The following is a 13,608-nucleotide window of genomic DNA, read 5'->3' as shown; positions in this document are numbered from 1 at the left end:
ATTTTTTTTTTTTTTGAGATGGAGTCTCGCTCTGTCACCCAGGCTGGACTGCAATGACACAGTCTCGGATCACTGCAACCTCCGCCTCCCGTGTTCAAGCGATTCTCCTGCCTCAGCCTCCTGTGTACGTGGGACTGCAGGCATGTGCCACCACACACGGCTAATATTTTTATTTTTAGTAGATATGGCGTTTCACCATGTTGGCCAGGCTGGTCTCGAACTCCTGAACTTGTGATCCGCCCGCCTCGGCCTCCCAAAGTGCTAGGATTACAGACATGAGCCACCGCGCCCGGCTATTTTTTTCTTAAAGACGTCTCACCCTTCCTCCCCCAAACCATATAAGCTTCAGGTCCCATTAAACCTGGACCTTTCAGTGCAGTGGCTCAGGCCTGTAATCCCAGCGCTTTTAGAGGATCTGAAACCAGGAGTTTGAGACCAGCCTGAGCAATATAGCGAGGCCTGGGCTCTATAAAAAATAAAAAATAACCGAGTGTGGTGGTGTGCGCCTATAGTCTCAGTTACTCATGAGGCTCTGGCGGAAGGACCGCTTGAGTCCAGGAGTTCTAGGGTGCAGTGAGCTATGACCGCCCAGCCTGAGTTGACAGAGTGAGACCTTGTCTCTAAAACAACAAACATAAAAAAAAAAAAAAACCCTAAACCATCCTCTGGGTAAGTCACAAATATGAGACTAAGCTACCCCTGCTCAAAAACCTGTGTTTTCTTTTTGCTAACTGCATACAATCTAAACTCTTTTGCATTTCGCAATCTTTCATGTTGTGACCCTTTACTGTTTGACCTCCTACCTATCTCTCTTCTGTTTTCCTTGTTCCAACAATATTCAACTTCTAGTAAATATTTTTCTATGTGCCTCCATGCATTTGTACACGTTGATCCTTTTGAGTACAATGTTCTCGCTTGTTTATTTAAGTGAACTTAATCGTCCATGTCCCCCTGCCGTCTTTCTTACAGCAGCTGCAAGCAGCTTGTAAGGCTCTTTTGTAGCTTCATGTTGCATTTTGCAAAGGTCATTTTGCAGGTGGTATTTGTGTGCTTACTGTGCCTTCTATTCCAATTGTTTACTCGCAACTTTGTTTCCTGCACTGGCAGATGCCCTCCCACTCCAGAGGCCCTGTTTTCACCATTGCATCCCCAGGGCCTACCCCACCATCACTGGTTAGTAAATTGTGTGCACGCACACATTTCCTTTTTAAAGCAATGGGACCCTTTAAGAAAATGAAATAGTAAGATAACTCCTAGAGAATTTTCTAGAATGTTTGAGAAAACCTAGGCCATCTTGAAGCATATGTACGAAGCTCCACTAACTCAGCAAAGCTCCACTAACTCAGCCTTTCCTCTCATCCCCCCTCCTCTCCCCTCCCCTCAGGCTATAGTCAGAAAATTGTGGGACAGGTGCAAACAAATCCTTGAACTGTATTTGAACTGAAGTGAAACAGTAGGGTCAAAGAAGAGTTCAGAGGGAGTTGTGGAGTTGGCAGCAGCTTTACAGAGGAACTACACTGAGGGCCTGGGGACAGAACGCGGGTAGCACAGGGCACAAGGTTCAACGTCCCTGCTCCGGGACTCAAGTCACTTGGCTTCTCGAAGCCCCTGCCTTCATTTGGTGATAATCACAGAGCTTCCTTCACAGGGGGAAGAACCAACAACGCAGAGACCGTGGGAAAGAGCCCAGCCTATCGAAGGTGCTCAATGAACAGGAGCCGCGGTGAGTACTCCGCCTCTACCCCGGCTGAAGCCCGCCCCCGCCGCCACCTATTAATTTTGTAGTTTGGAGTCACCGAGTTCACCTCCTCTCATAGGAGGAGAAGGCTGGGGAGGAGGAGTGTGCGAGTCGGGGTAGCTGAACTCCCTGTTTGCCCGGAGGAGGGGGAAGGCTAGGAAGTTTCGGGCCCCACTCAAAATGGAGCCAAACGTCTGCCTCGCCTAAGATGGCGGCTTCTCCGCCTCTGGGCTCAAGGTCTTCAGCGGCGATTGGGCACCTTAAAGAGACGAGCGGGTCCAAAGGTGGCTGAGAACCGCCCTCCTTTCTCAAGGTGGCGCCCCGCCCCCCCGATGACGTCACCCGGGAGCCGGCGGCTCGCGGTTCCCCGCCTCCGCCGCGCTCACCTCGCGAGTCCAGCCCTCATAAGATGGCGGTCGCCTTGGTTGTCTGGGTAGCGCCGCCACTCTCAACATGGTAGCTGTTTATCCCGTATTTCTCCTCCCCTCTCCGCCTCAACTTCCTCATTGTTTTGAATAAACTTTATTGACTACTCCGAATTGCCTACCACCGCCACTGGGCTTCTCCCAGCGACTTTTCGGGCCGTGTGCCTCGGACGTGGCGGCCGGTTCATCTCTTTCCCCGTTGGTTTGCTCGCGAGTATCTCCTGCCGGCCCAGCGACGACGCCACTTGCCCGTTCGCCGGGCGGCCGCCAGACTAGGCCCAAGCCGCGGTCTCCAGTAGGCCCGAACGGCCGGGCCGAGGGGAATGTTGTGGAGGAGGCTGCTCTGAAGCACCGTTGAGCGGCTGGCGCCGCGCGACCCAGCGGGGGGCTCGAGGGGAAGGCGAGCGAGGTTCCCGGCGGTACGGGGACTATCCCAGAATTCGACGCGCGTCGCCGTAGGGGCCGGAACTACCGGACGAGCCTCCGCTGAGGCGCTTCGCAGTCCCGGAGCTAGCCCGGCTGCCGGCGTGTCGCTGGGGCTGAGCTCCGCGGGCGTGGAGTCCTTGCAGCCCAAAGCATGAGGAGGTCCCTGTAGGATTCTGGACTGAAGACGTTCTTGTCAGGTTTGGGGCGTGAGGAGGTTCCTGTCAGTTGGGGAAGCGTTAAGATTCCTGTAAGTTTTGGGGGCTGCGAGGCTATTACTGTCAGTTTTAGGATATACTGTGAGGTACCTGAACATTTGGGGAGACTAGGGAGCTCTCATCAGTTTGAGGGGGGGCTGCAAGGAAACGCTGCCAGTTTCCGAGCGATGCAAAAGAATCCTTGCTTAGTTTCGGGAGTGTGAGGAAATTCTAGTCAGTTTGAGGGGTTTTGAATAGATCCTTTTGAGTTTCAGGGATGCAGCCAGAACCCTGTCATCTTTAAAGTACAGAACGAGCTGGTCAGTTTAGAGATTTATATTTATTTCAGTTTTGGGGGTGATGAGACTCCTGACTGGTCGGGGAAGGAATGATATTGAGAGTGATGGAAAGGATTATTTAAACTCTCCGAACACGACCCCAGAACTGTGATTTGAGTTGGGCGCCTAGTCTTGTCTGTCTTGTTCGTGAAGGCTTTGAGTAACCTGAAGAGACTTTCAGGGATCCCTTATCTCTCTCTGGTTGGCCCTATTTCAGGTGGTGAGAGGAGGGTCTTGTCTTGAGATACCCCCAGCCTCATTTTTGACGCTGTGGTTTGCGTCATAATAGAGGGAGCCCTGTGAAACAGGGGTCAGCTAGGGGAGGGTTCAGTGAGAGATGAAAGAAGCTTCCCGAAAAGGCTTCAGGTATTTTCTTGAAACCCGGAAAGAAGTTATCACTGACAACGGGGCCGAAGAAGGTGGGGGGTGGGGAGTGGAGAGTGTGGGGGCGGTGGGAAGCCTGGAAGGTTGAGCTCCGTTCTTTACGTGTGAAAGAAATTCTAAGGGCCGGGTGGACTTTCTCTGGTTGCCCCCTACAGCCGCACCAGCTGTGTTGCATCCCGGCGGCGGTAACTCTATTGGAGAACTGAGGGTTGGTGCAAGGGGGTGGGGGGCGGGGGCTGATTCACTCTGTAAAAAGTGTTATTTGTGCCTAGCTATCGTCCAGAGAGGACGCGTGCTGCCGCCTCCCGCCCCTCTTGACACGACGAACCTGGCCGGCCGCAGAACGCTCCAGGGCCGAGCGAAGATGGCCTCGGTGCCGGTGTATTGCCTCTGCCGGCTGCCTTACGATGTGACCCGCTTCATGATCGAGTGTGACATGTGCCAGGACTGGTTTCATGGCAGGTAAGGAGGGCAGGCCAGGCTACACAGGGTGCGGTGGCCAGGTGTGTTCACTTGCTCTCTCTTCCTTTCTCAGCTCTGTTTTTAGATTCCGGCTCAGGACCCCCTCTCCCAGACTCAGGTTCTGCCATCTCTCCTTGCAGAACAGGACCTAGCTGACATTAGCCTCTGGTTTCTCCTTTTCCTGTGTTTTCCCCTATGTATTTCTTCTTTGCACTTTTCTTTTGAGTGTTTTTTTAGATTTATAAGACCCCCCCCCCCTTTTCTTTCCTGTTACAAAGAATCATTTTTATATTCTTCTCTATTTTATTTTTTATTTTGTTTTATTTTTTTCGAGACGGAGTTTCGCTCGTTGCCCAGGCTGGAGTGCAATGGCGCGATCTCGGCTCACAGCAACCTCTGCCTCCCAGGTTCAAGCGATTTTCCTGCCCCAGCCTCCAAGTAGCTGAGATTACAGGCATGCACCACCACACCCAGCTGATTTTGTATTTTTAGTAGAGACGGTGTTTTTCCATGTTGATCAGGCTGGTCTGGAACTCCCGACCTCTGGAGATCTGCCTGCCTCGGCCTCCCAAAGTGCTGGGATTACAGGCGTGAGCCACCGTGCCCGGTCATCATTTTTATAGTCTGACAATTATGTTCTGCCTCACACACTGGCTTTTGGGAAAACAGTGTTGCTTATTTGAGGTAGTTGAGTCCATAAACAGGGATTTAAGTTGTGGCTTTGTACTTAGTTTCAGAGTGACCATGCACAAGTTGCTTTGCTTTTCTGAGCCTCATTGTCTTCAGCTATAAAATGTTATCAAATACATCCTTTCTGACTTTGCAAAGCAGTTTGGATGTACTCCATAAATGGAGGCAGAAATGGAAGAGTATTTTATTTCTACAGCATTTATCTGCAGCACCATCCAACTAAATTGAATTAAGCAGAATAGATGCTGGGTAAAACAGGAGTAAAACCACTGATGAATTTCCTTCAGTTAACCGTGTGTGCACATAAGCACCTGTCACCCAGAATTCCGGAGAGGTTAGTGTGTACGATAAAACTAATATTTCATTAATGGGATTTAAATCTCAGCTATGGAAAGACAACCTTGAGGGGGCTTTGTACACTGGAGCACAACAAAACAGTGTATGGCACCCTCCTCCTGTTGCTTGTTAGATTCTAGAATTTTCAGTTGTCTGGTCTCCTCCAGAGGGGCTATTTCTTTTTCTTTTTTTCTTTTTTCTTTTTTTTTTTTTTTTATTTGAGACAAGGTCTCACTCTTGTCACCCAGGCTGGAGTGCAATGGCATGATCTCAGCTCACTGCAACCTCTGCCTCCCGGGTTCAAGCGATTCTCGTGCCTCAGCCTCCCGAGTAGCTGGGATTACAGGTGCACGCCACCACGCCCGGCAAATTTTTTTGTACTTTTTTGATAGAGATGGAGTTTCACCATGTTGGCCAGGCTGGTCTCAAACTCCTGACCTCAAGCGATCCGCCCGCCTCAGCCTCCCACAGTGCTAGGATTACAGGCATGAGCCACTATGCCCAGCAAGCTATTTCTGTTTATCACACTCAAGACCAAACTATAGGTGCTGGTGCTGCTAAAATCCTGCCCTCAGCAGGGACTGCCCCCTTGCCCCGTATCCAAATTCATGTTTAACTGATCTCTATTGAATATTTATTGTGTGCCCGGCACAGAGTTCTGTTTTACTGCCTCATGTTATTTAAGAGGGGACAACCCTAGAGGGTGGGACCTTTTCCTTTGCCCTGAAAATAAGTGGGGATTAAGATGTCTTTCAGGATTCCTGGTGTCTTTGCTAGTGCTGATCAAGTCACTCCTCAGCTTAACATTCTTCTTTCAGTGGTTCGTCTCTGGGATAAAATTCAGTATCCTTTATATGACAGACAAGACCTTTTGTGATCTACTTGTTTATTCTCATTTCCTGCCACTCCTCCTCTCTTGTTCTTTATGTCCTAGCAAGACTGAACTACCTATAGTTCTGGGAAAATTTTATACTCCTTTATGCCTTTTTGTCTTTGTACGTGCAAACTCCCACTAATGCCCTCTCCCCTTTGCAACTCACAGACTGTAAAAGGTGTAAAAGTCCTTCTTCCTCTTGGTTCCCATTGCACTTTGTGTGCGTCTTTATTAAAAAGTAATTATTTAATCATATCATAGTTATAAATATATCTGTGTCATTCGTTAGCCAGAGCTTCCTGAGGGCAGAGATGTCTTCTTTTCATTTTTGGTATCCCCAGAACCTAGTTCAGTGCTAAACATGTAATAGATGCTGAGTACATTTTTGAATGAGTTAATGAGTCTTCATGAAAAAAAGCTGTTGCCTGGGGCCCTTACTTTGGATTGTATGGGAAATGTGTAGGTTCAGACCTGTAAAATGGGCTCCTGCTAACTCCTCACTCTGGAAACAGGGAACAGGAATGAATGCTTCCTGACTGCTTATGTCTGCCGGACCCCATGACAGGGACTTGGGACAAATTATTTAGTCTATATGCAAGCCTGAAAGTTGGATATTTCTCTTTTAAATAATGTTCTTAATTTTTTCTTGCTCTTATAGTGAGACCTGCTTGTTGTAGAAAACACAGAAAAAGAATAAAGAAGGAAATATAACTCACCTAAGTCTACTACTGTCTGGCACAATCCACTGTTAAATTTGTTGTTGCATTAACTCCCATCTTTTGACTTAGAATATAAACATATTTTTACAAGATGGGATTGCGTTATAAATACCATTTTACAACCTATTTTTTATTTCTAGTTAATGTTACAATGTAATTGCCAGTTCATTAAATATTCAGCTAAACTTGATTTCTGATATCCCACAATATATATGTGTCACCGGTTAATTTGGTAATTTCCTTTATGGTTGGACATTGTACTTTTTTGAACATTATTTGTACTTTTTTATATTATAAATAATGTGAGGAAACTTTGGGCGTTCTGGAAAGGTTTTGCATCTTGATATGAGTGCTGATTAAAACAAAAACATTATGGAAAGCATCTTTGCCTAGTAGATACTTGACATTTATTTATAAGGAGCACCATTGAGGCCTTAAAGAATTCTAAACTTACAAATACAGAAATGGGCTTATGGGCCAGGCCCCTCTTTAATCACATTTCTGTGGTGAGTTGTGTGTTTCTGTGTACACTCTAACACAAGTTAACTGCCTTAATTTTTTTCCATGAAATACACCAAATTTTAAAAATCTCTTTTGCTTCTCTCTATGGGCCCCCACTGAACAAGGAAGCTAGCTGAGAATCAGGTCCTTGGGGGTGGCTGCTCTTGCTTACTCAGTGCATTGCTCACAGAAACACACCAGGCTTATAGTGCGCCATTTAAGTTTGTACTTCAGCACAATTGGAAATTACTACATACTGTGGACTTTTTATGGTTGCTTGCAAGAGTTAAGCCAACAAATTTTAAATCCACAGATACCTAGAGGTGATAGAAATCTGTTCATATCTCTAGTGACTTCTTTTTTTTTTTTTTTTTTTTGAGACAGAGTCTCACTCTGTTGCCCAAGCTGCAGTGCAGTGGCACGATCTTGGTTCACTGCAACCTCTGCCTCCTGGGTTCAAGTGATTCTCCTGCCTCAGCCTTCTGAGTAGTTGGGATTACAGGTGCGCGCCACCACACCCGGCTCATTTTTGTATTTTAGTAGAGACAGGGTTTCACTATGTTGGTCAGGCTGGTCTCGAACTGCTGACCTCGTGATCCACCCACCTTGACCTCCCAAAGTGCTGGTATTACAGGTGTGAGCCACCATGCCCGGCCTCTAGTGACTTTTGTAGGATAGATTTCTTGAAGTCCAGCTAGGGATTATGGAATATAATGCCAAGTTACTTTTTGGAAAGGTTATAACAAGCGAGGCAACTATTCCATTTTGCAGCTGAGAATCTGGAATTCGTGGAAGTTAAGTGACTTTCTGAGTGTGGATTTGAACTTTGAATTATTTGATTCCAGAGCCCAGGTTCTCAGAAGTGCAAAAAACATGGTATTGCTTCATTCTTCCTGTAAGAAGCTGGATTTTGCAAAAACACTTTGATTTGTACAGCGGTGGTTCTCAAACTTCAGCATGTATCAGACTCACTTGGAAGACCTGATGAAACACAAGTTAGGGATGCCCTAGCTACAGTATTTCTGATTCAGTAGGTAAGAAGGGCCCACCCTTGAGAACCACTGATTTAGAACATTATCCTGTCTTGATTCCTTCCCCTTCTGCGGAGTGTGATAGCTTCTGATACTGAGGGATGGATGGACTAACATATCATTACTGTACACCAGTCATTCTCTTTTTTTGGTACAGAAAAATTGGAATGAACATTCTTTTTATATTATTCTTTTTTAATTCCTAAGTGAGCTAACACAGGAGGAACGACCTTTTTTAAAGTACAGTTCATCAACTGGGAATTTGTTCAAAATGCAATTTCTTGGGCTAGGACTTGGACTCAGCAGTCTATATTTTAACAAACAAGTGATCCTGATTCACCCTAACATTTGAGAATCATTGCTGTACAATAGTGGAGAAAACTAGTTGGCAAGCATTTATTGATTTCTGGGATTTTTAGCACAAATTTCACTCTACAGTTTTCCTGTTTATAAAAGAAATATTGGTTGATACATGCCCAAGGGAATAACTTTGGTGTGGATTTTTAACTCTAGAGGAAAGGACACTGATTTCAGATCTGGGTTCAAATTCTGATTCTGTTACATATTAGCAAATAATTTCTTATCTGTGAAGCCTTAGTTTCCCTGAGAGGTTGTGATGATTTAAATAAAATGGTTATAGCTATCGTTTATTGAGCACAAGCTAGTGTTCCACTCACTATGCTAACCACTTCGCCTAATTATCTTTATCTTTTGGGGGAGTTTTAAAAATTATTCCATTTAGTAGTTATAGGACTATTCAAATTACCTATTTTATGTTGGATGTGTACTTTCCGAGAATTGACCCATTTCATCTAAGTTGTCAAATTTATGTTTGTAGAATTGTTCATAGTATTTCTTTATTATCCTTTTGATATCTTCAGGTGCTGTAGTGATAATTTTGTTTCATTAGTGATACTAAAAATGTATCAGGCTGGGCATGTGATGTCATTCATGCCTATAATCCCAGCACTTTGGGAGGCCAAGGCTGGTGGATTGCTTAAGCCCAAGAGTTCAAAACCAGCCTGGGCAACATGGTAAAACCCCGTCTCTACAAGAAATACAAAAATTAGCAGGGTGGGTGGCACATGCTTATAGTCCCAGCTGCCCGGGAGGCTGAGGTGGGAGGATTGCTTGAGCCCAGGAAGTTGAGGCCTCAGTGAACTGTGATCATGCCACTACACTCCAGCCTGGGTGACAGAGCGAGACCCTGTCTCAAAAAAACCGAAAACAAACAAACAAAAAAAATTTGTCTTCGTATTTGTCAGACTTGCTAGAGGTTTGTCAGTTTTATGGATCTTTTCAAAGAACAAGCTTTTTGTTTCATTGACTTTTTCTGTTGTCTTTCTGTTTTCAATTTAATAGATCTCTGCCTTTACTATTTTTTTCCTCCTTTGGTTTATTTTGCTCTCTATCTAGTTTCTTGAGGTGGGAGATTAGATTATTGATTTGAGACTTTCTTTTCTTTTTTTTTTTTTTTTTATTTTTTCTGAAACAGCCTGTTGCCCAGGCTGGAGTGCAATGGCGCGATCTCGGCTCGCTGCAACCTCCACCTCCCGGGTTCAAGTGATTTTCCTGCCTCAGCCTCCCTACTAGCTGGGATTATAGGCGCTCGCCACCACGCCCAGCTAATTTTTTGTATTTTTAATAGAGATGGGGTTTCACCATGTTGGCCAGGCTAGTCTCGAACTCCTGACCTCAGGTGATCCACCCGCCTCGGCCTCCCAAAGTGTTGGGATTACAGGCGTGACCCACAGCACCCGGCCTTTCTTTCTTTTCTAATGTAAGCCTTTAGCTGTTAAGTTTCTTCTCAGCACCAATAGATTTTAATATGTTACATTTTCCCTTTTCATGTAGTTCAAGGCATTAAAAAAAAAAAAAGTTTTTTTTTTTTTTTTTTTTTTTTTTTTTGAGACAGTGTCTCAGTCTGTTGCCCAGGCGGTACTGCAGAGGCAGGATCATAGCTCTCACTGCAGCCTCCAGCTCCTGGGCTAAAGTGATCCTCCTGCTGCCTCAAGGCATTTTTAAATTCCCCTTGAAACTTCCTGTTTGACCCATGAAGTATAGAAGTATGTTGTTTAATTTTGAAGTTTTTGTAGAGTTTCCTGTTATCGTTCTGTTACTGACTTCTAGTTTGATAGTGGTCAGAGAATATACTTTGTATGATTTCAATTCCTTTACATTTATTGAGATTTGTTTTATAGCCCAGAGTCTATCTTGGTAAATGTTTCATGATCACTCGAAAAGAATGTGTATTCTGCCATTTTTGGGTAGAGTGTTCTATAAATGTCAATTAACTACTGTTGGTTAATGGTGTTGCTGAATTCTTCTAATCCTTGCTGATTTTTTCTTTTTTCTTTTCTTTTTTTTTTTTTTTTTTGAGATGGAGTTTCGCTCTTGTTGCCCAGGCTGGAGCGCGATTTGGCTCACCGCAACCTCCGGCTCCCAGGTTCAAGCGATTCTTCTGCCTCAGCCTCCTGAATAGCTGGGACTACAGGCATGTGCCACCACGCCCAGCTAATTTTGTATTTTTAGTAGAGACGGGGTTTCTCCATGTTCGTCAGGCTGGTCTTGAACTTCTGACTTCAGGTGATCCGCCTGCCTCGGCCTCCCAAAGTGCTGGGATTACAGGTGTGAGCCACTGCACTCGGCCTACTCATTCATTCATTCATTTATTTTTGAGACAGGGTCTCTATGTCACCTGGGCTGGAGTGCAGTGGTTTGATCATGGTTTACTGCAGCCTCAAATTCCAGGGCTTAAGCAATCTCCTCATGCTTCAGCCTCTACAATAGCTGAAACTGCAAGCATGTGCCACTGTGTGCCCTAATTTTTAAAATTTTTTGTGTGGGGAGGGTGTGGGTGTAGGTTGGTGGTACCTCCCTTTGTTGCCTGGGATGGTCTTGGACTTCTGGCTTCAGATGATCCTCCCACCTCAGCCTCCCAAAGTGCTGGGATTACAGGCATGAACTACTGCTCTTGGCCCGAGTTATCTCTGTATTGCTTTTTTCAGTACTTGCTCTAGGTATTACATTATACATATAACTTACCATAAGCAACTGCTCTTGACATTTTACCAGTTTGATTGAAGAGTAGAAACTTTACTTTTCTTTTTCCTTTTTTTTTTTGAGACAGAGTCTCACTCTGTCACCCAGGCTGGAGTGCAATGATGTGGTCTCGGCTCACTGCAACCTCTGCCTCCTGGGTTCAAGCGATTCTCCCACCTTAGCCTCCCGAGTAGCTGGGACTACAGGTGTGGTCCACCATAGCCGGCTAATTTTTGTATTTTTAGTAGAGACGAGTTTTCACTATGTTGACCAGGTTGGTCTCGAACTCCTGACCTCATGATCTGCCCGCCTCAGCCTCCCAAAGTGCTGGGATTACAAGCGTGAGCCACCATGTCCGGTTGAAACTTTACTTTTCTTTATATGCCTTAATGCTCTTTTGTTTATAATCTAATTAATCGTTTTGTTGTTGTTGAGACAGAGTCTTGCTGTGTTGCCCAGGCTGGAGTGTAGTGGAACAGTCACGGCTCACCTGCAGCCTAAACCTCCTGGGCTCAAGTGATCCTCCCACCTCAGCCCCCCACCCCCCAGTAGCTGGGACTACAGGCATGCACCACTATGCCTGGCTGATTTTTTTTTTTTTTTTTTTTTTTTTTGAGACGAAGTCTCGCTCTGTCGCCCAGGCTGGAGTGCAGTGGCGTGATCTCGGCTCACTGCAACCTCCGCCCCTCCAGGTTTAAACAATTCTCTGCCTCAGCCTCCAGAGTAGCTGGAATTACAGGCGCCCGCCACCACGCCCAGCTAATTTTTTGTATTTTTAGTAGAAACGGGGTTTCACCATCTTGGCCAGGCTGGTCTTGAACTCCTGACCTCAAATGATCCACACGTCTCGGCCTCCCAAAGTGCTGGGATTACAGGCATGAGCTACTGTGCCCAGCCTACTCATTCTTTTAGGATAAGTGTTGGCAACAGATACGTTTAGTTTTCCTTAATCTGAGAATATCTTGATTTCCCTTGAATTCTTAGGGGATCTTTTCACTTCATATCGAACTCTGGGTTTCTAGTTCTTTTATCTCAGCGCTTGAAAACTGTTCTGCTACTTCCTTTTGCCCTCCATGGTTTCTGATGAGAGAGCCTCTGTCATTCAAATTGGTGTTCTCCTTGAGGTAATGTGTCATTTATCTCTCATTGCTTTCAGGATTTTTCCTTTGTCTTTTGCTTTTAGGAATTTGATTAAGCCATGTCTTAGTGTGGATTTGTTCCGGTTTGTCTTTTGTTGTAGTCCTGTAGGTTGCTGAGGCTCTGTTCATTTTTTTTCCAATCTGTTTTCTTTCTGTTGTTCAGATTGGATAATTTCTATTGTTCTATCTTCAACTTACTGATTCTTTTCTCTGTTTTCTCCATTCTGCTGTTGAATTTTCATTTAAGTTACTAAAGAATTTTCATTGTTACTGTATTTTTCAGTTCTAAAAATTCTGTTAGATTCTTTTCTATATCTTCTATTTGTTTGAAGAGATTTTCTATTTTTTGTTGACACTTTCTTTTTTTTTTTATTTGAGACAAGAGTCTAGCTCTGTGGCCTAGACTGGAGTGCAGTGGTGCAATCTTGGGTCACTTCAACCTCCACCTCCTGGGTTCAAGTGATTCTCCTGCCTCAGCCTCCCAAGTAGCTGGGATTAAAGGCACATACCACCATGCCTGGCTAATTTTTGCTGACACTTTCTATGTATTTATTTATTTTATTATGATGATGATGATTTTTTTCTGAGATGGAGTTTCACTCTGTTGCCCAGGCTGGAGTGCAATGGTGCGATCTCGGCTCACTGCAACCTCTGCCTCCCTGGGTTCAAGTGATTCTCCTGCCTCAGCCTCCCGAGTAGCTGGGATTACAGGCACATGCCACCACGCCCAGCTATCTTTTGTATTTTTAGTAGAAATGGGGTTTCACCGTGTTGGCCAGGCTGGTCTCGAACTCCTGACCTCGTGATCTGCCCACCTCAGCCTCCCAAAGTGCTGGGATTACAGGCATGAGCCACTGTGCCCGGCGACACTTTCAATTTATTCATTTGTTTCAGGCATGTTCTTAATTGCTCATTGAAACATTTTTATGATGGCGCCTTTAAAATTCTTAAATAATTCCAACATCTGTGTCATCTCAGTCTTAACATCTGTTGATTTTCTTTTCTTATTCGAGTTGTGATTTTCCTTGTTCTTGGTATGACAAATAATTATTTTAATTATATTCTGGACATTTGGGGCATTATGTCACGAGATCCTGGATCTTATTTAAGACTTCTGTTTTTGCAGGCCTTCTCAGACACTGCGCTCCGGTGGCAGAAAGGGGGTACCACTTCATGACTGCCAGGTGGGGGTGGAAGTACAGGTTCCCCACTTGGTCTTTGGTGCTATCCACCACCTGCTAGGTGGGTGGATCCTGCTGTCTCTAGTCGGTCTGCTTTCTTCCCTTCACCTTTCAGAGTTTTATGTTTG

The 13,608-nt window shown here is 45.2% G+C and overlaps 1 protein-coding gene across 12 annotated transcripts in view, besides 3 other annotated features; it reads left to right on the top strand.

Annotated features, from left to right (window-relative positions):
- Window positions 1–13,608, top strand: part of PHF8 (PHD finger protein 8) — a 112,257-nt gene that overhangs the window by 2,339 nt on the left and 96,310 nt on the right. For 4 of the 12 annotated variants that reach the window (NM_001441096.1, NM_001184896.1, NM_001441098.1 and 1 more), the window contains exons 1-2: window positions 1,462–1,723; window positions 3,778–3,967. In NM_001441096.1, the coding sequence (NP_001428025.1) occupies window positions 1,708–1,723; window positions 3,778–3,967 (206 nt within the window). In that variant the 5' untranslated portion in view covers window positions 1,462–1,707. Of the gene's footprint in view, window positions 1–1,083; window positions 1,174–1,461; window positions 1,724–2,124; window positions 3,488–3,777; window positions 3,968–13,608 lie in introns of those variants that run through there. The other 8 variants (NM_001184897.2, NM_015107.3, XM_011530778.2 and 5 more) reach the window with 7 other exon arrangements.
- Window positions 1,534–1,993: an enhancer, noted in NCBI's record as "active region_29669". NCBI's record gives its function as "activates an Ori minimal core promoter by ATAC-STARR-seq in GM12878 lymphoblastoid cells {active_cell/tissue: GM12878}" and the evidence as "EXISTENCE:reporter gene assay evidence [ECO:0000049][PMID:35858748]".
- Window positions 2,014–2,183: a silencer, noted in NCBI's record as "silent region_20860". NCBI's record gives its function as "represses an Ori minimal core promoter by ATAC-STARR-seq in GM12878 lymphoblastoid cells {active_cell/tissue: GM12878}" and the evidence as "EXISTENCE:reporter gene assay evidence [ECO:0000049][PMID:35858748]".
- Window positions 2,204–2,453: an enhancer, noted in NCBI's record as "active region_29668". NCBI's record gives its function as "activates an Ori minimal core promoter by ATAC-STARR-seq in GM12878 lymphoblastoid cells {active_cell/tissue: GM12878}" and the evidence as "EXISTENCE:reporter gene assay evidence [ECO:0000049][PMID:35858748]".

The sequence above is a fragment of the Homo sapiens genome, chromosome X (genome assembly GCF_000001405.40).
Source record: "Homo sapiens chromosome X, GRCh38.p14 Primary Assembly".
NCBI lineage: Eukaryota > Metazoa > Chordata > Mammalia > Primates > Hominidae > Homo > Homo sapiens.
This window is presented reverse-complemented; position numbering and strand designations above follow the sequence as displayed.